The sequence below is a fragment of the Homo sapiens genome, chromosome X, assembly GCF_000001405.40.
Source record: "Homo sapiens chromosome X, GRCh38.p14 Primary Assembly".
In the NCBI taxonomy this organism is placed as follows: Eukaryota; Metazoa; Chordata; class Mammalia; order Primates; family Hominidae; genus Homo; species Homo sapiens.
In genome coordinates this window covers 120457348-120482784 of record NC_000023.11, presented here as the reverse complement: position 1 = coordinate 120482784, position 25437 = coordinate 120457348, and the positions used below count along the sequence as shown (strand labels likewise).

General features: G+C 42.0%; 1 protein-coding gene across 3 annotated transcripts in view, besides 1 other annotated feature; it reads left to right on the top strand.

The window, feature by feature from the left end:
* Nucleotides 13287–13551: a silencer, noted in NCBI's record as "fragment chrX:119603089-119603353 (GRCh37/hg19 assembly coordinates)". NCBI's record gives its function as "represses an EF-1alpha promoter that drives an FKBP-Casp9 reporter gene in an ReSE screen in K562 erythroleukemia cells {active_cell/tissue: K562}" and the evidence as "EXISTENCE:reporter gene assay evidence [ECO:0000049][PMID:32094911]".
* The window catches only part of LAMP2 (lysosomal associated membrane protein 2), a 43202-nt gene continuing 31200 nt past the window's right edge, over nt 13436–25437 (top strand). For 2 of the 3 annotated variants that reach the window (NM_001122606.1, NM_013995.2), the window contains exon 1: nt 13436–13679. In NM_001122606.1, the coding sequence (NP_001116078.1) occupies nt 13616–13679 (64 nt within the window). In that variant the 5' untranslated portion in view covers nt 13436–13615. The remainder of the gene's footprint in view (nt 13680–25437) is intronic. The other variant, NM_002294.3, reaches the window with a different exon arrangement.

Below are 25437 nucleotides of genomic sequence, written 5' to 3'. Positions count from 1 at the left end.
ACAAAGCAAAATGTTGGAAGTATGAAAAAAAAATCCTACCTGTACCATACATTAAAGGGATGAGGGCTGGGTGTGGTGGCTCATGCCTGTAATCCCAACAATATTGGAAGGCCGAGGTGGGCAGATCACTTGAAGTCCAGGGCTCGAGACCAGCCTGGCCAACATGGTGAAACCCTATCTCTACTAAAAATATGCAAATTAGCTGGATGTGGTGGCGTGCGCCTGTAAGCCCAGCTACTTAGGAGGCTGAGGCAGGAGAATCGCTTGAAGCCAGGAGGTGGAGGTTGTAGTGAGCCAAGATCGCACCACTGCACTCCAGCCTGGGTGACAGAGTGAAACTCTGTCTCAAAAAATAAATAAATAAATAAAAATAAAAATAAATAAATAAAGGTCTGAGTACTTGAGCAACTGCTGAGTTGGAAGGAAGTTATCGAGTGAAGACAGTTGTAGGTATGCTCCCTGAAACTTGAGTTGTAGAAGGGAGGGGAGGATGCAGAAGGGATATAAAATGGACCCAGGGCCTCAAACTGCCCCAAAATCATTGTCCAGACTTACAGGTTTCTGGAGGCTCTAGGGGAGAATCTGTTTCCTTGCCTTCTCTACTTTATGTAGGCTGCCTAAATTCCTTGTCTCATGGCCCCTTCCTCCAACATCAAAGGGAACAATGGCTGGTTGAGTCTTTCTCACGTGGTATCACTGTGACCTCTGCTTCCATTGTCACATCTCTGTCTTTGACTGACTCTGCTGCCTCCTTCTTTCACTTAGAAGCACTCTTGTGACTACATTGGGCCCACTGGATAACCTTGTATAAGCTCCCTACTTTAAAGTCAGATGATAGCAAACTTAATTCCATCTGACACCCCAATTCCCCATTTTCCTGAGGATTAGGATATGGACCCCTTTGTCAGGGGCACATTGTTCTGCCTATCAGATCAAGTAACTCTGGAATGGGGGTAAGGGGTCTCTCTCCACTAGCTGTTTTGTAATTAACAAAAAGTCAAAGGCTTTCTTCTGAAGTATTTGTGAAAGAAAGTTTGATGGCATTGAATGTGCCTTTCCTTTCATAATATCACTGTTGAATGCCTTTTGTATTTTCTTTTTTTTTTTTTTTTTGAGATGGAGTCTCGCTCTGTCACCCAGGCTGGAGTGCAGTGGCGCCATCTCAGCTCACTGCAAGCTCCGCCTCCCGGGTTCACGCCATTCTCCCGCCTCAGCCTCCCTAGTAGCTGGGACTACAGGCACCCGCCACTACGCCCAGCTAATTTTTTGTATTTTTAGTAGAGACAGGGTTTCACCATAGTAGCCAGGACGGTCTCAACCTCCTGACCTCGTGATCCGCCCACCTTGGCCTCCCAAAGTGCTGGGATTACAGGCATGAGCCACCGCACCCGGCCTTTTTTTCTTTCTTTCTTTTTTTTTTTTTGAGATGGAATTTTGTTCTTGTTGCCCAGGCTGGAGTGCAATGGTGTGAACTTGGCTCACTGCAGCCTCTGCCTCCCGGGTTCAAGTGATTCTCCTGCTTCAGCCTCCTGAGTAGCTGGGATTACAGGTGTGTGCCACCATGCCCGGCTAAGTTTTGTATTTTTAGTAGAGATGGGGTTTCACCATGTTGGCCAGGATAGTTTCGAACTCCTGGCCTCAGGTGATCCTCCCACCTCGACCTCCCAAAGTGCTGGGATTAGAAGCGTGAGCCACTGCGCCCAGCCATGTATTTTAATTTACTGTAAACTTTCTTCTCTAACTACTACTGAGGCACAAGAAATTTCAGAAAGCTGTGGAATTCAAGTTGGTAGAGTGTTTAGAGGCCATCGTATCTAACTTGTCTTCTGATACTGAAACTCATATTTTCTGGACAAATGCTCAATTCAGCTTCTCTTTAAACCACACTTCCGGTGTCTCAGAACGAATAATTATGAGTTACTACTTTTTAAGATTTCATTGTTAAAAACTCTCCCTTCCTACTAAACTGAACCCTGGCTCCTTTTAATGACAAACTATCCTTTTTACTTTGCTCTCCAGAGCTCTAGAAAATATCTTCTTCACTCTACCCTGTGTTCATTGTACAGAGGGCAGAAGGAAGAAGGTTTGAAGAAGAAAGGTTTGAAGACCTACCTTAGCTACCCTGCTAAGACAGATTCTGTTCTCCAGCCTGAGCATGTCCCCATGGGAAGATTTTCCAGAGCCTCCCCAATTCTGGTCTCTCTATCCTGGAGGCTCTCTGGTATGTTAATGTCCTTCTGTAACTGTGGAACCCAGAACTGGATATATAACTCCATGGCAGAGTCCATTAGGATATCATCTCCCTTGACTTGCTTGCTTGAGCTTTCTACCTAAGTGGCCCAAGCTTGTACTTTTCACTTTTTTTTTTTTTTTTGAGACAGAGTCTCACTCTGTTGCCCAGCATGGAGTGCAGTGGCACAGTCCCGGCTCACTGCAACCTCTGCCTCCTGTGTTCAAGCTATTCTCGTGTCTCAGCCACCTGAGTGGCTGGGATTACAGGTGTGCGCCACCACGCCTGGAGAATTTTTGTGTTTTTAATAGAGTTGGGGATTCGCCATATTGGACAGACTGGTCTTGAACTCCTGTCCTTGAGGACTCCCAAAGTGCTGGAGACTGTAAACGTGAGCCACCATGCCCAGCTCACTTTCATTAAAAAAAAAAAAAAAAAGTCACACTGTTGATTCATAATTTGTCAGTAACATAATCCTGCAGATCTTTTTCCCATGAGTTTTTGCTAATATGGTCTCTTCCATCTTGTATTTGTGAGATAGATTTTTTTTTAAAGCTCCTAATACTAGATTTTATGTTTATCCCTGTTCACTTTCATCTCACTGGTTTGGGCCCACTGTTCCTGTTCCAGATAATTAGAAATCTTCATGCATTTGAATCTGAATCGGTGGACTAGCTTGCCCTCCTAAATTTGGATAATTTGCAAAATTTATGCTCACTTGATTTTCATGAAAATGTTTCTGTCATTTAAAATGTATTTTTTTCTTTTCCATACTTATACTCATTTCTAGCACATTGGAAATTAGCATTGTCCTTCAGTTTGAATCATCAGTTTAATCTAAACAAATCTTGTTTTTTTCCTTTCTGTAGGGCAGACAACCATAATTGCTTAAGCAAGTAAAAAATAGATTATAAAATTTTCTAAGTATAAGTGCATTTAGAACAGAGTTTCTCAAAGTGTGGCCCACATACCACATATATCTGTATCACCTGACTGTTTTTCTAAAAATACAGTCCCCTGGGTCCCACCCAGGCCTTTAGACTCTCTGGTAGTGGGGCTCAGAAATCATCATTTTTGTATAAAACACAGGTGATACTTATGGACACCGGAGTTTAAGAACCCTGCCCTAGAACATCAACACAGTGATCTACAGCACTGGGTCTCAACCCTGGCTGTACATTAGAATCATCTGGCGCCCTCTTAAAACTGCTGCCATTCAGGACACACCTTGTATTAATTAAGTCATTAGCTGGGCGTGGTGGTGGGCACCTGTATTCCCAGCTACTCGGGAGGCTGAGGCAGGAGAATCACTTGAACCCGGGAGGTGGAGGTTGCAGTGAGTCAAGATCACGCCATTGCACTCCAGCCTGGGCAACAGAGCGAAATTCCATCTCAAAAATAAAATAAAATAAAATAATTAATTAAGTCAGAATCTCTGGCGGTGAGACCCTGGCATCTGTATGTTTAAAAGCGTTACCCAGGTGATCCTAATGTGCAACTATTATTGAGAAGCACTGATTTATATGTTCCACGGTAGAGATTTGAGGGTTTAATACTACTGAACAATTTGTCAAATCTCATAAACCCTTTCAGCTCAAAACATGTCATCTGTTTACTTTGGACTTTGAATTACATGTCCTAGAGTTAAAAGTTACTTACTGTGAGAAGAGACCAAGGTGCCTCTTGTTTGGCACTCAAAATTCCAAGCAACTGCCACCAATATTCTTCAGACAAAGAAGGTTGAGAGACACTAGCTGTGTGGCACAATGCTAGGCACTGCTGGCAGTACCGGAGGCAAACTACAGTAGTAGAAGGCATGGTTCTCAAGAAACTTAGCCCAGTTGAAGAGGCAAACCTGGGAGAAAACAGAGTGAAAAGTTCCATAAAAGCTTAACGTAATGAAGTACCAAGCTGCAGGACACCTGTTAAATATTAGTTCAGAAGTTCAGCAGAAGAGATCAGTGAGGTCTGCAGTGGTCAGGGGATAATTTGCCGGCAGGTAGGGTTTGAGCTGCTGCTTGAAAACATTTCAGTATTTAAATTGATGGTGGAACAAATGGACAGCTTCCTGGATGAAGAGTACGGTATTAGTTCAGATGACTTCAAATGCAAGTAACAAAATCCCCGAATTATCAGTGACTTAAACTTTTACAGATATTTGCTAGTCCACTTCTCTTAGTCTGCTCAGGCTCCTATAACAAAATACCATAGAATGGGTGGTTTAAACAACAAACACTGATTTCTCACACTCTGGAGGCTGGAAGTCCAAGATCAAAGTGCCAGCACATCTAGTGTCTGGTGAGGGCACTCTTCTTGGTTTGTAGATGGCTGCTTTCTTGGCTTTATCCTCACATGTTGAAAAGAAAGAGGGCTATGGTCTCTTCCTCTTCTTATAAGGACACTAATCCCATCATGGGAGCTCACCCTCAGGAACTTGTCTAAACCTAATTACCTCCCAAATGTCCCACCTCCAAATACCATTACATTGAAGATTAGGACTTCAACATATGAATTTTGGGAAATCACATTCAGTCCACAGCACCACTTCACAAGATACCGGGAGCTGGGCAGTCCCAGAGTTTGTGTAGCAACTCAACAATATCATCAGTAATTTTATCTTTTTGTTTTGACATCCTCATTGCAATGGCAATGTCTCCTCTCATGGTTCCAAGATGGCTGCCACACCATCAAGCACCACATCCTAACTCTAGTAACTTAAGCAAGAGATTGATGGAGCTCTTTTCTATGATCATCTCTTTTTCAGAGAGGAAAAATCTTTCCCAGAAACTCCCTCAGAGTTCTCCTTATGTCTCATTAGCCAGAACTAAGTCACCTAGTCACCCCTATATCCATCACTAGCAAAAATTTGCATGCATGACCGGCTTAAAACAATTATGATTCACCTCTTGGGGAACACACTGTCACCTGTAACATAATCAAGGTTCTGTTACTAAGGAAGGAGGGGGAATAACTGGTAGGCAACAAGCCATGTCTGCCACAGATGTAATGTGAATGAAAACTTATGCAGCAGTAAGGAGGCCAGCCAAATTAGAGCAGAGAATGTGTAATGTGAAAAGATCGGCTCGGTAGGGAGGAACCAGACTGAAGCCCTTAAAAGCCAAGCAGAAGAATCTAGAGTTAATATAATAGGAGAGAGAGGGAGAGAGAGCTATCAAAAGATTTTAAATAGGAGCAGGATGTGGTAAAAGCATTATCTGAGGAAGATCACTGTGACATTGGTGTGTAAATGGATTGGAATCAAGGAGACCAGCTAGATAATAAAGGCCTGGCCTAAGGTGGGAATAGAGTGCTAAGGATGGAGTGAAGAAAAATAATAAAAGGAAAATCAACAGAAGTTGATGTGTGGCTAGTTTGGGGTATGGAGGAGCTGGATTAAAGGTAATGTCAAGATTTCTAATCTGGGTGACTGGGAGAATGGTGGGAACAAAAAAAATTGGGAGGGACACCTGGCTTGGAGAAAAAGAGAAATGCTGAGTTTGGTTTAGGATATATTAAATTGGAGGTGTCAGTGAGCAATCTGAGTCGATGTGTTCAATGGGCAGATAGGCTTTTCAGGGATTAGAAATAGCACTTGGTGCTAGAGACCTTTGCACAATAGTGTCATGGTTAGGAGCAGGGATACTGGGGCTGGACTGCCAGAATTTGAAATCTGGTTTGGCTGCACCATTTACTAGACATGTGACCATGGGCAAGTTACTTAATTTTTCTTTTCTTTTTTTTTGGAGACAGAGTCTCACTCTGTCGCTCAGGCTGGAGTGCAGTGGTACAATCTCAGCTCACTACAGCCTCTACCTCCTGGGTTCAAGCCATTCTCCTGCTTCAGCCTCCCAAGTAGCTGGAATTACAGGCATGCGCTACCCCGTCTGGCTAATTTTTGTACTTTTAGTAGAGACGGGGTTTCACCATGTTGGCCAGACTGGTCTTGAACTCCTAACCTCAGGTGATATACCCGCCTCGGCCTCCCAAAGTGCTGGGATTACGGGTGTGAGCCACCGCGCCCGGCCCCAACTAGTGTTTTAATTTCTAAGAAGCAACTTCCTGCTGTCAGCTATGTCCTATTTCCTCCAAATTGGGGGGAGGGGGAGAGATGTGTGTCATAATTTGTATGTGGAGAGGGAGATCAGATGCACGAAGGGGATGAAGTGACTTTCCTAAGGTCGCATAATAATCTGATGGCTGGCCGGGCGCTGTCCACACCTGTAATCCCACCACTTTGGGAGGCCAAGACAGGCAGATTACCTGAGGTCAGGAGTTCAAGACCAGCCTGGCCAACATGGCAAAACCCTGTCTCTACTAAAAATACAGAAAAAATTAGCCAGGCATGGTGGCACACGCCTGTAATCCCAGCTACTCGGGAGGCTGAGGCAGAAGAATCGCTTGAACCTGGGAGGCAGAGGTTGCAGTGAGCTGAGATCGCGTCGCTGCACTCCAGCCTGGGTGACAAGAGTGAAACTCCATCTCGAAAAATAAAAAATAAATAATAAATAATAATCTGATGGCTGAGTGGGTTCTAAAAATCTAGTTCAGCATCACAACTGCTGGCCAGATGAGCAATGCTTATCTTGTGGCACGTTTCCAGTTTTCAAAACAGTGACATAAGTCTAAATGGTTTATTAAAATTCTCTATCTCAAGTACCCAGGGACCCAAACACTGCGGAAGGCTGCAGGGTCCTCTGCCTAGGAAAACCAGAGACCTTTGTTCACTTGTTTATCTGCTGACCTTCCCTCCACTATTGTCCTGTGACCCTGCCAAATCCCCCTCTGCGAGAAACACCCAAGAATGATCAATAAAAAAAAAAAGAAAATAAAAATAAAGTAAAATAAAATAAAATAAAATAAAATAAAATTCTCTATAAAATAAAGTGGTGTTGTTCTATGATGCAATCCCTATACTAACCACATGGTGATGCTGCAGACAGATCTAGAGATTTGAGGAAAAGGTGTTTAAGAATATTTTTTATGTTTGTAAATTATAGTACAGCTACACAAAGATTATGCAGGCTTTTAAAAGAATGAGGTAAAGCTACAGATTTGTAAGAATAATCTTCAAAATATGCCACTAAGTGAGAAAAGTAAGTCACTAAACAATATCATATTTGTCTATTTTTTTAAAAAAGCATGTAAATATATATGCTGGTACATATATGATTTTTCTCTGCAGTGTAAAAAAAAAAAGACCAATAGCAGTTGTTACTTTGGGCAATGGGACTGGGGTCCAAAAGAGGGGAAATGGTGGCTTTTTGGATAACTTTTTTTTGGGAGGCGGGGCGGTTCAATGATTCTCCTGCCTCAGCCTCCCAAGTAGCTGGGATTACAGACAGGCATGTGCCACCACGCTTGGCTAATTTTTGTATTATTATTTATTATTATTATTATTATTGTATTATTAGTAGAGACGGGGTTGCACCATGTTGGTCAGGCTGGTCTCAAACTCCTGACCTCAGGTGATCTGCCGGACTCAGCCTCCTAAAGTGCTGGGATTACAGGCATAAGCCACCGCACCTGGCTCATAACATTTTAAATGATTTGATTTTTAATAATTTACATTAATTTAAAACTCATTATTACAAAAAAAATCCATTCGTTGTACAACTTTACTGCAGAAATTAATAAAAATCTCTTCTCCTTCATCTTTTGTTTTTGTTTTTGTTTTTTTTTTGAGACGCAGTCTTGCTCTGTCTCCCAGGCTGGAGTGCAATGGCACAATCTCGGCTCACTGCAACCTCTGCCTCCCGGGTTCAAGCAATTCTCCTGCCTCAGCCTCCTGAGTAGCTGGGATTACAGGCACCTGCCACCACGCCAGGCTAATTTTTGTATTTTTTTTTTTTTTTTAGTAGAGACAGGGTTTCGCCATGTTGGCCAGGCTGGTCTTGAACTCCTGACCTCAGGTGATCCACCCTCCTTGGCCTCCCAAAGTGCTAGGATTACAGGCATAAGCCACCATGCCCAGCCCTCCTTCATCTCTTAACCCCATTCCCCAGAGGACAGAGAGCCCCTGCTGAGAGTTTGAGATCTCATTACTCAGAATGTGGTCTCCAGACCAGCAGCATCAGATCACTAGGGAAGTTGCTAGAAATGCAGATTCTTGTGTCCTATCCCGGAGCTGTTGAACTTCACAGTGGGGCCTAGTAATCTGTGTTTTAATAAGCCCTCCAGTGGTTGTGATGCATAAACCATTTTGTTTTAGCAGATTGGATCAGATCTTTTGGCAGGGGAGGTTGAGAATACTACTGGCCAGGAGAACAAACAACTCAAAATGGCATGTTTCCATTTATCCAGAGAACTCTGGCTGAAGAGTTGGCAGCCCCTTGAGCCCACTGTGACCTCGCTGTGGGGTTGAGCGATGACCATACTGTCATCCAGACAGTAGATATTAAAGGTATTATCCAGAAAAAAGGGACATGCCAGAAGGAGAAAGGAAAAAGAGGGAGGGTAGGAGAAACTAAAAAAAGGATGAGTAGGGAAAGGAAAAATGGGGCAGATAAAAAGATAATGCAAATTTAAAAAGTAAAGATTTTTGGTGGCAAATAGATGACACCAATACCTCAGGGGCACTCATTTATTTATTTTTATTATTTATTATTATTATTTTTTGAGACAGGGTCCCACTTTGTCACCGAGGCTGGAGGGCAGTGGCGCGATCTTGGCTCACTGCAAACTTCGCCTCCCTGGTTCAAGCAATTTTTGAACCTCAGCCTCCCGAGTAGCTGGGTTTAAAGGCATGTGCCACCACACCCAGCTAATTTTTGTACTTTTTGCTAGAGATGGGGTTTCGCCATGTTGGCCAGGCTGGTCTTGAACTCCTGATCTCAAGTGATCCATCCCTCTTGGCCTCCCAAAGTGCTGGGATTACAGGCATGAGCCACCGTGCCCAGCCCATTTATTTAATAACTATTTATTATTCTTCCATTCTAAACTTCTGCACCTTTAAGTTCATTTCCTCTGCTCATCCCCACATTTCATTGTCTATCATTTACCAAATCTGATAGGGTCATCATTTCTTACACCATTCAGTATGTTGACATGTAGGGAAATGTTTGCCAATGATTTCCTGCTCTTTGGCCAAAAAGTCATGCACTCTCAAAGGTGCTGAAAAGAGTCTTAATCTACCTATGATGGTAGGGGACAGTGTGGGGGGACTGCTGAGGAGTTTGTGCACTGGGGTGGTATGAGGTATATTCAGGAGCGCACATAAAAGCACCCTAGATACAGCGGTACCAACAATCAAGTCAACCTTTGTGAAGCTTAGATCGGAGGGGATCTCACAGATTTCCTCAAACACTAACCCCAGTCTCACGTATACATCTGCATCTACCACCGAAAGCCAAGGAAAAGCTCCTTCAATCTGGGGCAGGGTAATGGGAGACTGTATAAGAAAAGGGATCTTTCTCACAGTGTTTTTTGGAGAAAACATTAAACATTTCTGAGTATGGAAGCTCAGTGCAAACAAAGACTTGAGAATTTTTAGCCTATTTATGCTGACAAAATACCCAGCATGTATCTACAACTTTCAAAACATTGTTGTGTCTCACGACGATGCCTGTCCCAGTCAAGGAGCCAGCATTTGTATTTGCCTGAGGAAAAGGTTGTGATGGGGGTGAGGGTGGATTTCGCTTGTAAGGCTGCTCATATTTCACTGTGTTTATTTTTTTAATTTGATGACACCTTCAAGAGATAAAGGGCGACAATTTATTACACCAGATATTTGACAAATTGGGACAGTATTTTATTTTATTTTAATTGTTAGAGACAGGGTCTCACTCATTTGCATAGGCTGGAGTGCAGTGGCGCCATCAAAGAGCACTGCAGCCTCAACCTCCTGGGCTCAAGCGACCCTCCCATCTCAGCCTCCCTGGTATCTGGGACTACAGGTGTGCACCACCATGGCTGGCTATCCTTATATATAAATATATACATATATTTTCAGAGACAGGGTCTTGCTCTGTCACCCAGGCTGGAGTGCAGTGGTGCAAACATGGCTCACTGCAGCCTCCACCTCCTGGACTTGAACAATCCTCTTGCCTCAGCCCCCAAGTAGCTGGGACTACAGGTGCACGCCACCACCCCCAGCTAATTTTTAATTTTTTGTAGAGATGGGGTTTCACCATGTTGGTCAGACTGGTCTCAAACTCCTGAGCTCAGGCAATCTGCCTGCTTTGGCTTCCCAAAGTGTTGGGATTACAGGTTTGAGCCACTGCACCTGGCCAATTTTAAATAAATGAGCATTTACTCACATAGAATCCTTGAATTATAAACCTGATGCCAACTTAGAGATCATCTGAGGCCCACCAATATTGTTTTGGGGAGTTTTGAGAAAAACACCATGCCCAGGCCTGACTTCAGATAAACTGAATCAGAATCTCAAGGGATGGGACCAAGGGGAATTTTCCACTTTTAAAGCTCCACAAGTGATTCCAACATGCAGCCAGGATCAAGAAACAGCTCTAGTCTCATTATTTCATTTTACCAATAAAGATATAGAAGTTCAAACAGATGAAGTGACCTGCCTAAGATCACACTGCCAGTAAGTGGTGTCTCACAACCAACTCCTCTGACTGCTAACCCAATGTTCTTTCCACTATGTTCTTTTTTTGTTTCTTCTTATAGAAAGAGCTTAGGGTTTTACTGAACATTAAAGTTATGCGATTTACAATTGAAAGAGAAGAGCTAGAGTCCAGGAAGTATTGGTGGGGCATCTTCAGAGGGCTCAACTCAGTTGTGGGTTCTCTGAAGACTACTATGCCCAGGACATAGCTCCTGCCAAGTCTCATTGATGGCAGTCAAAAGACATTTTGCTAAAGGCAATGACTAACACTGTATGCAGTGTTCATTAGTCTTGTGTTGGGTCACTTGTTCACAAATTAGTTTCACCTATGGTAGTAAACATTCATTGACAAATGTTCTCACTTTCAGGAATTAATTACATTAAAGCAAACAATAGTGGGGCAGATCGGTGCTTCTTAATATTTGAATTAGGGTAGGGGTTAGGGCAAGGAGTCACAGGTCCCATTGGAGAACTAGTGAAAACTACAAACTTCCCCACAAAAATACACATACATAAATGTTGCATGTAATTTCTGAGGATTCACCGACACCTCTCCCATCCTGTCTAAACTCATACATAAACTCCAGATTAAAATCTCCTGGACTAGATGATTTTGAAGCTCTCTTTCAGTGTTTTTCTCAAAGTGTGGTCCATGGACCACAGAATCAGAATCACTTGGGGTGTTTGTTAAAGAAGTGATTAATAAGACTGCCACAGACCTACTGTTTCAGAATCTCTGGGGAATGAGGTACAGGAATCTGTATGTTAAAAAAAAAAAACCCAAAACCAGATGGTTCTTTTGGAAACTAACACTTGAGAATCAGTGCTTTATTCCAACTCAAGATTTTTAAATGCTTTCATCTGTTGAATATTTTAGGTTTTGTCTGTTCATCTATCAAGTATAGCAAACAGTATGCTTAGTATGAACTCATTACAGAATATTTGTGTGTATGTACATAGGAAAAATATCTGGAAGTATAGATGTGGGTGTGTGTATATATGTGTGTAAATATATATAATAATGTTAATAGTAGGAATACAGATGATCTCTATTTTTCCGCTTTATCCTTCTGTTTTATTTCTCTCATTTTTTTCTTCCTGTGTTTAAAAAAGATGCTTCTTGTTTCTGAGCTCAATTCCCCCACCTGAGAACAGGGTGCTGTAACTAGGTGAATTTCAAGATCATGTCTTGTTCCGATGGTCCGTGACTCCATACTACCCCCTAGGTTCCCTCGTCCATCTCACAGCATGAACTGCATAGGTAACAACAGTGTTTGGAGAATAAGCATGTATTATTTTTGTATGTATTACGTTTGAGATGCCTAGCAACCGTTTTTGTGCCCGCAAAATTTTTCTCTTCTTTGTCAAGGAGCCAAAACGGAAATAGTCTACTATCTACGGCCCTCAAAAGTTCCTCCTCTCTCCTTAGCCTTAGAAAATACCGTCCGCCATAGGCATGGGCAAAGACCTCATGGCTAAAACACCAAAAGCAATCGCAACAAAAGTCAAAATTGACAAATGGGATCTAATTAAAAGAACTTCTGCACAGCAAAAGAAATTAGCATTAGCGTGAACAGGCAACCTGCAGAATGGGAGAAAATTTTTGCAATCTACCCATCTGACAAAGGTCTAATATCCAGAATCTACAAGGACCTTAAACAAATTTACAAGAAAAAAACAACCCCATCAAAAAGTGGGCAAAGGATATGACCAGACACTTCTCAAAAAAAGACATTTATGCAGCAACAAACATGAAAAAAAGCTCATTATCACTGATCATTAGAGAAAGGCAAATCAAAACCACAATGAGATACCATCTCACGCCAGTCAGAATGGTGATTATTAAAAAATCAGGAAACAATAGATGCTGGCGAGGCTGAGGAAAAATAGGAATGCTTTTACACTGTTGGTGGGAGTGTAAATTAGTTCAACTATTGTGGCAGACAGTGTGGCGATTCCTCAAAAATCTAGAACCAGAAATACCATTTGACGCATGCACACGTATGTTTATTGCAGCACTATTTACAATAGCAAAGACTTGGAACCAACCCAAATGCCCATCAATGATAGACTAGATAAAGAAAACGTGGCACATATATGCCATGGAATACTATGCAGCCATAAAAAAATGAGATCATGTCCTTTGCAGGGACATGGATGAAGCTGGAAGCCATCATCCTTAGCAAACTAACACAGGAACAGAAAACAAAACACTGCATGTTCTCACTCATAAGTGGGAGTTGAACAATGAGAACACATGGACACAGGGAGGGGAACAACACACACGGGGGCCTGTCAAGGGGTGGGGGCCAAGGGGAGGGAGAGCATTAGGAGAAATACCTAATGCATGTGGGGCTTAAAACCTAGATGACGGGTTGATAGGTGCAGTAAACCACCATGGCACATGTATACCTATGTAACAAAGCTGCACATTCTGCACATGTATCCCAGAACTTAAAGTAAAATTAAAAAAAAAAAAAAAAAAGAAAGAAAAAGAAAAAGAAAATGCCGTCCGCGCATATCTCTCAGGAGCATAGGAAGGGCTGTGAACCAAAAAGCCAGGGCGTGGTCGCCCCGCCCACCGGCCGCTACATCACCACCCCTCTCGCCGCTTTCAAGCGCGGAGATTGGCTGTAAGCAAGAAAGAGCCCCGCCCCTAGTCTTATGACTCGCACTGAAGCGCCGATTCCTGGCTTTTGCAAGGCTGTGGTCGGTGGTCATCAGTGCTCTTGACCCAGGTCCAGCGAGCCTTTTCCCTGGTGTTGCAGCTGTTGTTGTACCGCCGCCGTCGCCGCCGTCGCCGCCTGCTCTGCGGGGTCATGGTGTGCTTCCGCCTCTTCCCGGTTCCGGGCTCAGGGCTCGTTCTGGTCTGCCTAGTCCTGGGTGAGTTGTCGGGCCCTCCCGATTAGTCTGTCCGCCTGGGCCCGGGGCACCAGTTCAAAGCTACAACCTGAAAGACTGGTCCGAGGGGGAGGGGGTTGAGAGGCTCAGCAGCTAACACTGGGCGGCGGCGGTTGGCCCGGGGAGGCAAGCGGTGACCTAGAGAAGGCCTGACCGACGGATGGCGGGGAAGAAGGGCCCAGGAGAGTAAGAAGGGGCCGGTAACGGGGGGTGGACGCCGAGGGAGTAGGCTGGGAGGAGTGAAGCGTGGAGAGGGTCAGCGTGGAAAGAGTAACTTGGGGAAAACACTGAGGAGTGAGCGTAGGAGGGTGGTACATGCAGATTTTGGGCGCCAGAGACAATTAGGAGAGTCTTGGTTTGCTGAGATCAGGGAAGAGTTTTGAAGATGGTGGAAAAACTATGGGGTGAGATAGGAAATTAAGAGAGAAGACCATGCCTGCCTGGAGTAGCTTGGGAGAAGTGTGTGGGTGGGGGACAGATGGGACAGATAGGACAGTAGAGCCTGAGGGGCAGGGGCAGTGACAGGGTTGGGCATTTTGAAGGTTGGAATTTGAGACTGTGAAGAAAGGATGATTCAAGAGATTAGGAGTGATGCTGGGTTTGAGTTTGGTAGTCATAGTTTTAAGGGCGAAGGAACCTAAGGTAGCTGGGGCAATTTCCAGGAAAGAAAACTTGGACCCAACCTCTGGAGACTAAGGGGTTCAGGGGGAACTTTGATGGGGAGTGCACATCTGACTTGGAGGTATTGAGGATGTCGATTTTCTCCCAGTTTTGCTACTTCCTCCCAGCCAGACGCTGACAAAAAAATCCCCAGACGTTTCAGTTAGGAGGGCCTCCCAGATGTGAGGTTTTGGGGGTGGAGTATTTGAGTTTGGTAGACTACCTCTTTGCCTTCAGAGTTTCTTCTTTTCTTTCTTCCCCATCACACAGCTAGCCTATTACCTCATATTTTGGGGGTGCAGGGAGCAGGTAGACAAACTTGCTAAGGATTGGGTTGTTACCAGGGCCTAAGAATGGCTGGATGGGGCCGGGCGTGGTGGCTCATGCCTGTAATCCCAGCACTTTGGGAGGCCGAGGTGGGTGTATCACCTGAGGTCAGGAATTCAAGACCAGCCTGGCCAACATGGTGAAACCCCGTCTCTACTAAAAATACAAAAATTAGCCGGGCGTCGTGGCACATGCCTGTAATCCCAGCTGCTTGGGCGGCTGAGGCAGGAGAATCGCTTGAACCCAGAAGGCGGAGGTTGCAGTGAGCCAAGATTGCGCCATTGCACTCCAGCCTGGGCGACAAGAGTGAAACTCTGTCTCAAAAAATAAAAATAAATAAATCAATAAATAAATGGCTGGGTGAATGTTCGCTGATTGTGTTGTGCCCTAATAGGCAGTGGGTCGCTAACAACTTTAATGCCTAAAAGTGAACTTTGACTAAAGTGTCTCTTCCTGACTTTGATTCATGCTGTGCTTGTTGCTACCCACCTGCTCTTGCTATTTGTGACTTAATAAAATAACATAAAGAACAGACCCAGATGGGAGTGGGGAAGAAATAGACATATTAGGGGTCTGAGAAAGCAGTGAGAGGTATACATTTTGTAATTCACATTTCAGTAGAATGAAATCAACACCCTGGAATAGTGATTCTCAACCAGGGGACATTTGGCAACATCTGGAGACATTTTTGGTTGTAACAACTGGGGGATTGCTTTTAGCATCTAGTGGGTAGAGGCCAAGGATGCTGCTAAACATCCTAACTAAGCACAGGGCAGCCCCTGACAACAAAGAATCATCTCCCTGAAAATGTCAATGGTGCCAACATTGATAAATCCTGCTCGAAAACCATAGTATTGGAAGGGTTCTTGATTATCTAATTCAGTGACTCTCGAGGACCTTTTCATGCGTCTGTGAAATCAAAACTTCGGAATAAGGTTAAGAAGGTATTTGTCCTTTTCTGCTGGGCACAGTGGCTCACGCCTGTAATCCCAGCACTTTGGGAGGCTGAGGCGGGCGGATCACCTGAGATCAGGAGTTCAAGACCAGCCTGACCAACATGGTGAAACCCAGTCTCTACTAAAAATAGAAAAATTAGCCGGTGTCGTGGCACATGCCTGTAATCCCAGCTACTTGGGAGGCCGAGGCAGGAGAATCGCTTGAACCCAGGAGGCGGAGGTTGCGGTGAGCCAAGATTGCGCCACTGCATTCCAGCCTGGGCAACATGAGCGAAACTCTGTCTCAAAAAAAAAAAAAAAAAAAGAAGTTATTTGTCCTTTGTCCTTTTCACTCTCATCCTCTCACCAGTGTACAGCAGAGTTTTCCAGTGGCTACGTAACATGTGATGACCTCACCACTCTGATGTTCTTATATTTTATTCATTTCTCAGTTTTAATTTCTAATACTGTAAATACCAATACATATGACTCACATAAACCTCTGTGAAGTCCTCAGTGGATAAGAAAGTAAAGGGGTCCTGACACCAAAACTTTGGGAATCCCTGATGTAGTCCAACTGTTCACAGCGCGCAGGAAACTCTTCTGTAGCACTTCTGAAAGGCGGCCTTGAGGCAGGCTTTGCTTGAATACTTAATTGGAAGCCTTAACTGTACCTTGGAGCACTTACTGAGGGCCAACTGACCCTAAGAAAGGATTGTTTACAATGGAAAGTACCTTATCAGTGACTAGAACACATCTGACCAAGGCATCTGTTAATCAGTAGTTCCCTGCCAATTGAATCTGTGCACAAATACAACACTGTTATTGTTTTGGGAAAGTGAAAAAAATAATAGTTGTCCTACTTGTTGGCTTTCATGTCATTAAATTTTTTTTTGTTTTTTAATGAAAGCTTTTTTGTTTTGTTTTTACAAAAGCAATGCTTACTCACTGCAGAAAATAAACATGCAAAAAGAAGCACATAAAAGAACCCATCAGCTCATCTGCTAGTTTGCCATTTATTGATCAGGACTAACTAGATTCTTCCTCTTGGAAAATTTCCAAGATTGATTCCCTCCGCCTCCAAGTTCAGAGCAGGATTTGGAAAAGTAAATATTAATAATGTACCTAGATCTGATTTTTAAGAGGTTCCAGGATGAAATAGAAACCATTTTTCTATACAGCTGCATTTTCTGATGGCTCTTGGTTCAGTGTGGAGCCCAAAGTCCTCCCATATAGCTTTTTCTGTCAAGAATTTAGCAGTTGCTTGGTGGGTTTTGCACAAGTTACTTTTCTATATCAAAATGGATACCAATAATAGGTTTTTGAAAACTTAATAAATATTTGTAAAGTACCTAATATGTAGCTAAATCAATAAATATTTGTAAAGTACCTACTATGTAGCTAGAACTGTGCCTGGGTACTGTACGGAGTGCCAATGAAGGAGGACCTGTCCTAAATTTATAGTCTTATTAGCATTAGTGCTCTAGCTGTGCCAGTTTGACTTTGTAACTTTATAACTCTATCCCAGCTTCACCCATAACCTTTTAAAAACAGCAGCTTTAGAATAAGTACAGAAAAGGATTCTTAGAGGCTATATATTGGTCTTTTTCATAGAGATTAAATTATGCTGGTGTTTATTTGGATGAATTGTAACTGACCAGACAACTTTCCGAAGAGAAGCTATATGATTTAGAGGTGTTATAAAGTGGATAGTGGGTGAAAATCCTTTCTTTATATAATTGCCTAATTATGGTCCTTTTGTGATATCATAGATTTCAGGATTCTTCTGTGGTTATTGATTCTTATAACTAGCTTGACTTCTGTTTTTTGGTTTGTTTGTTTGTTTTTTTAGGGTTCAGAATTTTTTTTTTTTAGGTTTGAGGCTTTTCTGGGTGGGAAAAACCTCACAGAAATATTCTTAGTGTATGTTACTGGTAGGAGCCTCTCCCTTCCACACGTTTACTGAATGCCTATTGTGTCCCAGCCACTATATTAGGTGAAAGGGACAGAGGAATGGATAAGACAGATGAGGTTCCTGCTCTCATGGAGCTTACATTTTAATGGGAGAAGAAAGCTCAACAGATAAATAATATAATGTCAGATAGTGATAAACACTATGAAGAGGCCGGGCATGGTGGCTCACGCCTGTAATCCCAGCACTTTGGGAGGTCAAGGTGGGCAAATCACCTGAGGTCAGGAGTTCGAGACCAGCCTAGCCAACATGGTGAAACCCCATCTCTACTAAAAATACAAGGGCATGGTGGCCAGCACCTGTAGTCCCAGCTACTCGGGAGGCTGAGGCAGGAGAATTGCTTGAATCCAGGAGGTGGAAGTTGCAGTGAGCCGAGATCATGCCACTGTCCTCCAGCCTGGGGGACAAGAGCAAAACTCTGTCTCAAAACAAAACAAAACAAAAACACTATGAAGAAAATTACACAGGTAATGAGAAAGGAGAATGAGTAGATGATAGGAATGGGTGATGGTGGATGATCCTTCTTTATATTATGTGGTCAGAGGGCCTTCCGTTATCGGGTGACATTTGGGCAGAGACCTGGGTGTTGGCAGGAGGCCAGCCATGTGACCATCTGGGGAAATAGGAATAAATCTTATCATTTGCAAAATCTTAGGTTACTAGCCTATTTTCCACGCTTTTTTGTTTCCCCCTAGTTTTAGTCAAGTCTCTCCTATGGTAGCAGTCTCTAAGAGCAGAGACGATCTTATGTACTGTTACTTCCCATTGCCTACCTAGCATAGGGTCTGGTACATGGTTAACCCGTAGTGAATTTTTGTTGAAGATATTCATTGGTGGGCACTAGGGATATGGTGGTAAACTAGACTCATTTAGTCTCCTTTTTCTTCCATGAATTTTAAATGATGTTTTGCAAGAAGTTCTTTTGGATTGAAAACTTCAAGATCAGTGCTAAGCAGTACGGATAATTATACAGTAATTTACTAATGTATAATCCCATATAATAATGCTAGTTTCTTACCTGTACTCCTTCAGATATACCTCCGTAGTCTCGAAGGGGGTAATATGGAGAATTAGGAGTTCCTTGGTGAGGAGAGTTAGGTTTTCACAAAGTTAGGTTTTCTCTGAGAGAAAACAAGCACTAAGATTTTTCTATAGGCTTAACACATTTCATTTAACTGATAACTTTGATTTCGAGGTTCTGCCAAATTATTCTAGTTATAATAGAGATACTGTAAAGGACTGAAAAATTCTGAACCCTAAAAAAAAACAAAAAAAAAACGAAAAACAGAAGTCAAGCTAGAAGATAAGAAAGGACAGGCTTGTTAGTTTGTTAGTCATTGATTATCACATCTGATAGGGTTATAGATATTCAAATATGTCCCAAATACCAGATTAGTTTGTTAGTCATTGATTATCATATCTGATAGGGTTATAGATATTCAAATATGTCCCAAATATCAGATTGTCACATCTGATAGGGTTATAGATACTCAAATATGTCCCAAAAGAACAGCTTTCTTCCCCTATATCTTTGGGTAGATTTTGTCTATAACCAAGCATTATTTCGTAGCACTGGAGCTGATTTAAATGACCCTTGATGCAGGAAGGCTGCTCTTCTTTCTGTAGTGCAAAAGTATTCTGATCATAATTTCTTATTAAAGTGATCAGAGATCCCCTCAGACCCAAAAGTATACTTTATAAGTACTTGTTGGTATCCTGCTGTGCATTGTGAAAGAATTCTGGAGGTGTGCCAAACACTGCTCAACAATAAGCACTTTCCATTAGTTGAGTAGTGTTGAATCTTGTTTCCTTACCCACTCTTTGGCCTTAACAAATTAAGTCATTTTATAGCTTAAAAACATATTTTTATTAACTTTTAATACTCTTTTTCATGTGTTCAACATTCTTACTTTAAAATCATATTGCTTTTCTCCTTTAAGAAACTTACCAAAAGCAAGGGTATAAAGTAACTGAATGCAATGAGTGTACCTATTATTAGGAATTATAAAGGAGAAACAGTTAATCTGACTTAAACTTGTAGGAAAACCATCACTCTGAATAGAAAACAAAGATAAATAGGTACCGTATGCCTCTGTGTCCTGTATTTTAAAAAGACCTTTTGCTCAACATCATTCTAAATTCATGAGTTTGAGGACAAGAGTCCAGAATTTAATATGATGAAAGTAAACATAAAGCTAAAACTTGGGAAGGTTCCCTTTAGGTGCTGTGTTTACTAAAAAGGAGACTTGTAAATTGGTATCTAACTTGTTTGGCAAATTTCTTTTAGCTCTGAAGGGTTTATATGCTTTCAAAGAACCTATTGGAGAAATATGCACTATAATTCTAAACAAGGGTAACTTGCCCAAAGTCTCACAGCTAGGAAGTTGGACTGCCAGATTTGAGTTCTAGCTCTTCCACTCCAGGAATGGGGACTCTTAATCACTTCATTATATAATCAATCCATTGTATCTTGGATCATTGTTTGGTTTCTTTTTATTGGTTTTGTTTTATTGCTAGCATTATGTTCTTCCCCCACCCCTAATTTTGTGTGTTTATGTTTTCAGCTATACTTTGGGTCAAATAGACTTGCAAAAACCTAGCCACTTTTTGCAGTGTCATACACTTGGGGAAGTAAGGTCTGTGTTCTCTGTGAGAGGTTTTTTTTTTTTTTTTTGACAGGGTCTTGTTCCATTCCCCCAGCTGGAGTGCAGTGGAGTGATCTTGGCTCACTGCAACCTCTGCCTCATGGGCTCAAGCGATCCTCCCATGTCAGCCTCCCGAGTAGTTGAGACCACAGGCATGCACCATCACACCCAGCTATTCTTTTGTATTTTTAGTATAGATGGGGTCTTGCCATGTTGCCCAGGCTGGTCTTGAACTCTTGAGCTCAAGTGATCTGCCCCCCTTGGCCTCCCAAAGTGCTAGGATTACTGGTGTGAGCCACTGCCCGGTCAAGGTCTGCATTCTAAAAGAATTTACAAATGACCTTTTTGGAAAACAGGATTGAGAGGATATTTGACTTTGAGAACGGTTGATTTTGAGGCATACCTTTTTCTTTTATTTAGAGAATAAACTCTCAGCTCTAAAATTACACACTCTAGAATATATTCATCTATGGTTTTTTAATGTCATAAAGCCTTTTAAAAATTGGGTATTGTAAAATCAAACACAGCAATAAGGATGGAAATTGCTTGCTAGATACTTTTTAATAAAGTGTAAATATTTCAACTGTAAACTTACCTTTTGGGAAAAGCTCTGTTCCTAGCTTGACATCCATGTCAAAATTTATTGAAGTGAAACCCAACATGGGGTTTGAGGGAATATCCAGAAGACTGATATGTTCAAGATTTGGAAGAGCTAAAGGACTGGCCTCTCTGTAATTAGATTAAGCTATGTTTTGGGTCCCTATTGCAGTGTGTTTTCACCTTGATATAATTAATCAGTATTTATTGAAAATCTAATATGCATTCAGCACTACTTGGAATGATAGGAGATAGAGGAAAAGTAATACACATGGTGTCCCCTACCATGACACTCATGATAGATGACATTCATATAAAAGACACACTGCTAGGGGTTGTGGGATACATCAGATCATCTGATCAAGGGAGCATACTGGAGTTCAAACGAGTGACAGAAATGTTATCTAAAGGGAATCTTGAATCTATCCATATATATCATTCATTCACAGACTTGGTACTTTTTTTATTAGTAACAAATTACTTACTGTATACTATAATTTACCATGGCACACCAGTTTGTTATGAAGTGACAGTTGAAAACTGCTGTGTTGGAGCTTATGACAGTAGGAGGGACAGGATTTACTGCTATAAAATAACTGAATAATTCAGGATAATGTAAAATATACTGAAATGGGATGTGCATTATTACTGCTCCTTGAGGGCTTTTATAGTCAGGGAAAGCTTTGTGGAGAAAATGGCTACTGAAAAAACAGATAGCATATCAGCCCAGGTTCTTAATTGCAAGGAAGAGAAATACAATCTGATTGATTTTAAGCAGAAAAGAATTTATTAAAAAGAACTGGGATATAATGCATACCCTTTGGCCCCACAGTTTCATTCCTAGATATACAGCCAACATACACGCATACATGTGTTTACTAATATGTGCAAGAATGTTTGCAGCAGTGTTTGTAATAGAATCACACTGGAAACTAAATGCCCATTAAAGGTAGCATAGATAAGTAGTTTTTTTGTTTGTTTGTTTTTGTTTTTTTTTGAGACAGAGTTTCATTCTTGTTGCCCAGGCTGGTGGAGTGCATTGGCATGATCTTGGCTCACTGCAACCTCTGCCTCCCGGGTTCAAACGATTCTCCTGTATCAGCCTCCTGAGTAGCTGAGATTACAGGCATGTGCCACCATGCCCAGCTAATTTTTATATTTTCAGTAGAGGTGGGATTTGGCCATGGTGGCCAGGCTGGTCTCGAACTCCTGACCTCAAGTGATCCACCCTCCTTGGCCTCCCAAAGTGCTGGGATTACAGGCGTGAACCACCCCACCTGGCCTGTATTCACCTGATCATAGAAGGTTATACAGCAGTGAGCACAGACTGCAATTATGCATAACATGGGTGAATCTCACAAAACCTAAAATTGAGGAAAGAAAGCAGACACAAAAGAGAGCATAGTGAATGATTTTATTTATATCAAGTTGAAAAATGGATAAAATTAATCTATAGTGTCAGAAATCAGGATAATGGTTACCCTTGGGAAGGGAATAGTAACCCTTGGGAAGGGAAAGGGAAATAAGGAGGGCTTTGGAAGTGTAGTTGACCCTTGAACAACACAAGTTTGAACTGTGTGTGGATCTACTTATACATGAGTTTATTTCACCTCTACCACCCTGAAGACAGCAAGACCAACCCCTCCTCTTCCTCCTCCTCGTTATGATTTTTTTTTTTTGAGACGGAGTCTCTATCTGTTGCCCAGGCTGGAGTGCAGTGGCGCGATCTCAGCTCACTGCAACCTCTACCTCACAGGTTCAAGCGATTCTCCTGCCTCAGCCTCCCAAGTAGCTAGGATTATAGGTGACCACCACCAAGCCCAGCAAATTTTTAGTGGAGATGGGGTTTCACCATGTTGGCCAGGCTGGTCTCGAACTCCTGACCTCAAGTGATCCGTCTGCCTCAGCCTCCCAAAGTGCTGGGATTATAGGTGTGAGCCACCATGCCCAGCCCTCCTTATGATTTTCTTAACATTTTCTTTTCTCTAGCTTTATTTTCAAAACACAGTATGTAACACATATATAACATACAAAATATGTGTGAATCGACTGTTTATGTTGTTGGTAATGCTTCCAGTCAACAGTAGGATATTAGTAGTTAAGTTTTGGGGGAGTCAAAAATAATATGCAGATTTTCAACTGTGCAGTGGGTCAACACCTGTTAATGTTCTGTTTCTTGACACAGGTGGTTTTGGTTTGTGAAATTATTTGAGCTGTAGACTTAATGTTACGTGCACTTTTCCCTTACATCTGTTATACTGTGCCTGTTTCTGTACATATGTTACATATCAAATGTTTATTAAAGGGGTATATTGGGTAACTCAGAATTTCTGGTGCTCCTGGCTATATATACCAAATCCCAGTTCAGGATTCAACAACCCAGATCATGCTGCTGAACTGCACTACCACTGCCAAGTGTGAAATTGAAGCTTGCTCTGCTGGCCTTGTTGCCTGGGAGCTTGATCCTGCTTCTGTTACTCCACACCTGTCTCCCTCCCTGTTCCATTCCTGGCTCCATTTGCAGCCCTCCTTTCAAAGTGTGGGGTGGATACCTTTGTTAGGCAGAGCCTAGCACAAGTGGTCCTCCTTACTGCAAGGGAGTCTGGGAAAGCAAGTATCCAGTGTTTTCAGCTTTTATAGTGGGTGGTGATTTCTGCCAGAAATTGTAACAAGGGGACAAGGGGTGTTTCAGATTTGGGGCAGCCAAAAAGCGAGCAAAATCCATCTTTGAGGTGAGCATTTAGGCCAATAGAAGAAAGTAGATTTCAAGTGTTAGGAACAATAGAAGCCCAGGGTAGAGGTTGAATAGAGTATGGCATTTGAGCCCAGTGGAAACAAGTTTAACTGGATTAAAGGGTGTGCTCTGGGAAAATAGTTTGAGAAAAGTTGAAGGAATAGGATGGGACAAGATTAAAGATTACTTTGAAAGTCAGGCAGAGGAATTTAAATTTCATATGGGAATGTTGGAGCCAGTAAAAGTTTTTGAACAAGAAAGTGTCCTAAAAGGAAATGGTACTTAAGGATTATTAATCTGGCAGCACTTCTAGGGGTATCTAGGCATTTTCTGTCATAATTTAGGTGTGGGGTGATAGATTGGGAGTAGAAATAAAAGACAAAGATTGTATTTAAGAGAAGATTTGAAGGAAAAAAATCAATAGGACTTCTTGAAGAGAAAGAAGTAGAGGCTATTTCTGAAACTGAGCTTGAGTGACTGATCCCACTCTTCATTTAGAGCTAGCAAAGCTGAGGAGGGACCCAGTTTGGAGGAAGCAGAAGAATGAATTTTAGTTTGGGAATTGCTGAGTTTGAGGTGAGAGATATTGAGTAAAAGTGGTCCCTGTGCAGTTAGAGTTGGGGACCAAGAAGTGGAAAGAATTGCACTCAGGCAGAAAGGCTGTGAAGGGAATGGAACAGAGTGTGCCAGAACCCTCAGGGTGTTTCTCAGCTCTTGTTTACGGGCCACCAGGTATACTATCTTGAATTTAATTTTAAGTGATACGTTTGAACCACAACCTCTACCTTTTGTTTCATAAAACGTCAGTTCTCACACCCTAAGACACATTGATGCAAGCTATCGATGCTATTACTATTTTACATGGTCTTCTTCCTGTTATTCTAATATATTTGGAAAGAAAATGATTAATACATGTGAGGCTTTTCTTGGTAATTTTCAATACTTTTGAATGTTTTGAATACAAGGAGAATAATATACTAAAGCTAGAGACCTTAAACAAGACCGAGAAAAGACTGCATATAAAAAGCAAACCTCCAGTTCATTAAAATTGTAAGTTGGAGCTCTTGGCTCCATGGCAGGGAGCCTTGGATCAGTAAGTATAACAGCTCCCTTCCGTATTGTACTTAGAAAAGAATGATCATAAAACCTACTTAGGCCTCACAAGGTCTTTTTGAGCCTTAGCCAATGCATTTAGTCACTGTCAGTAACCACAAGCTTTAGTATAATATTCTGGCTTGCAAAGCAGCCAGGTCTCCAGAGCATGACGATAGGCTCTTCTATACAACTTGAAAGCTGTTGCTGAGGCATACCTTCTTGATATTCCTCTTAGCACTTTTCTCTAGTCTATAGCAAGTCTGTACCTGTAGATGACAGTGGATTGCTCAGATATTATTAAAGAGTATGCAAGTATCTTAACAGGAAACAGCTTACCCTTTGGGTAATGTGTGATACAGTGAAGAAAATCCCTTAAATGGTTGCCCAATATTTATGCTGCTGGCATGTTTGCTGGGATATTTTTTCTCCTCTGAATTAGTATTTTGAGTCCTTGGGCTCTTCAGTTTAATAGATAATGTTTCTATGTTTAAGTGTAGAAGATCCACCATGTTAGCTGAAAAGTTCCAAGGCTTTTCTGTCTCTGTAACATTTCTCTGCCTAAAGAGGTAGCAGGTTGAAAATTTAGGAAATAACTTTGCGTCAAAAAATTCATCAGCCTTTCTAATCAATTCGATTTTAAAGTGAAACAGTGATGAACTTTGCATTTATCAGAATTCATGTTTTTCTCATGGATTTAACAGCCCTTTGCAACTCTGCTTCCTTGGTTACATGATAGAAAGAGTATCTGATCACATCAGAATAAAATCGTTTGGGA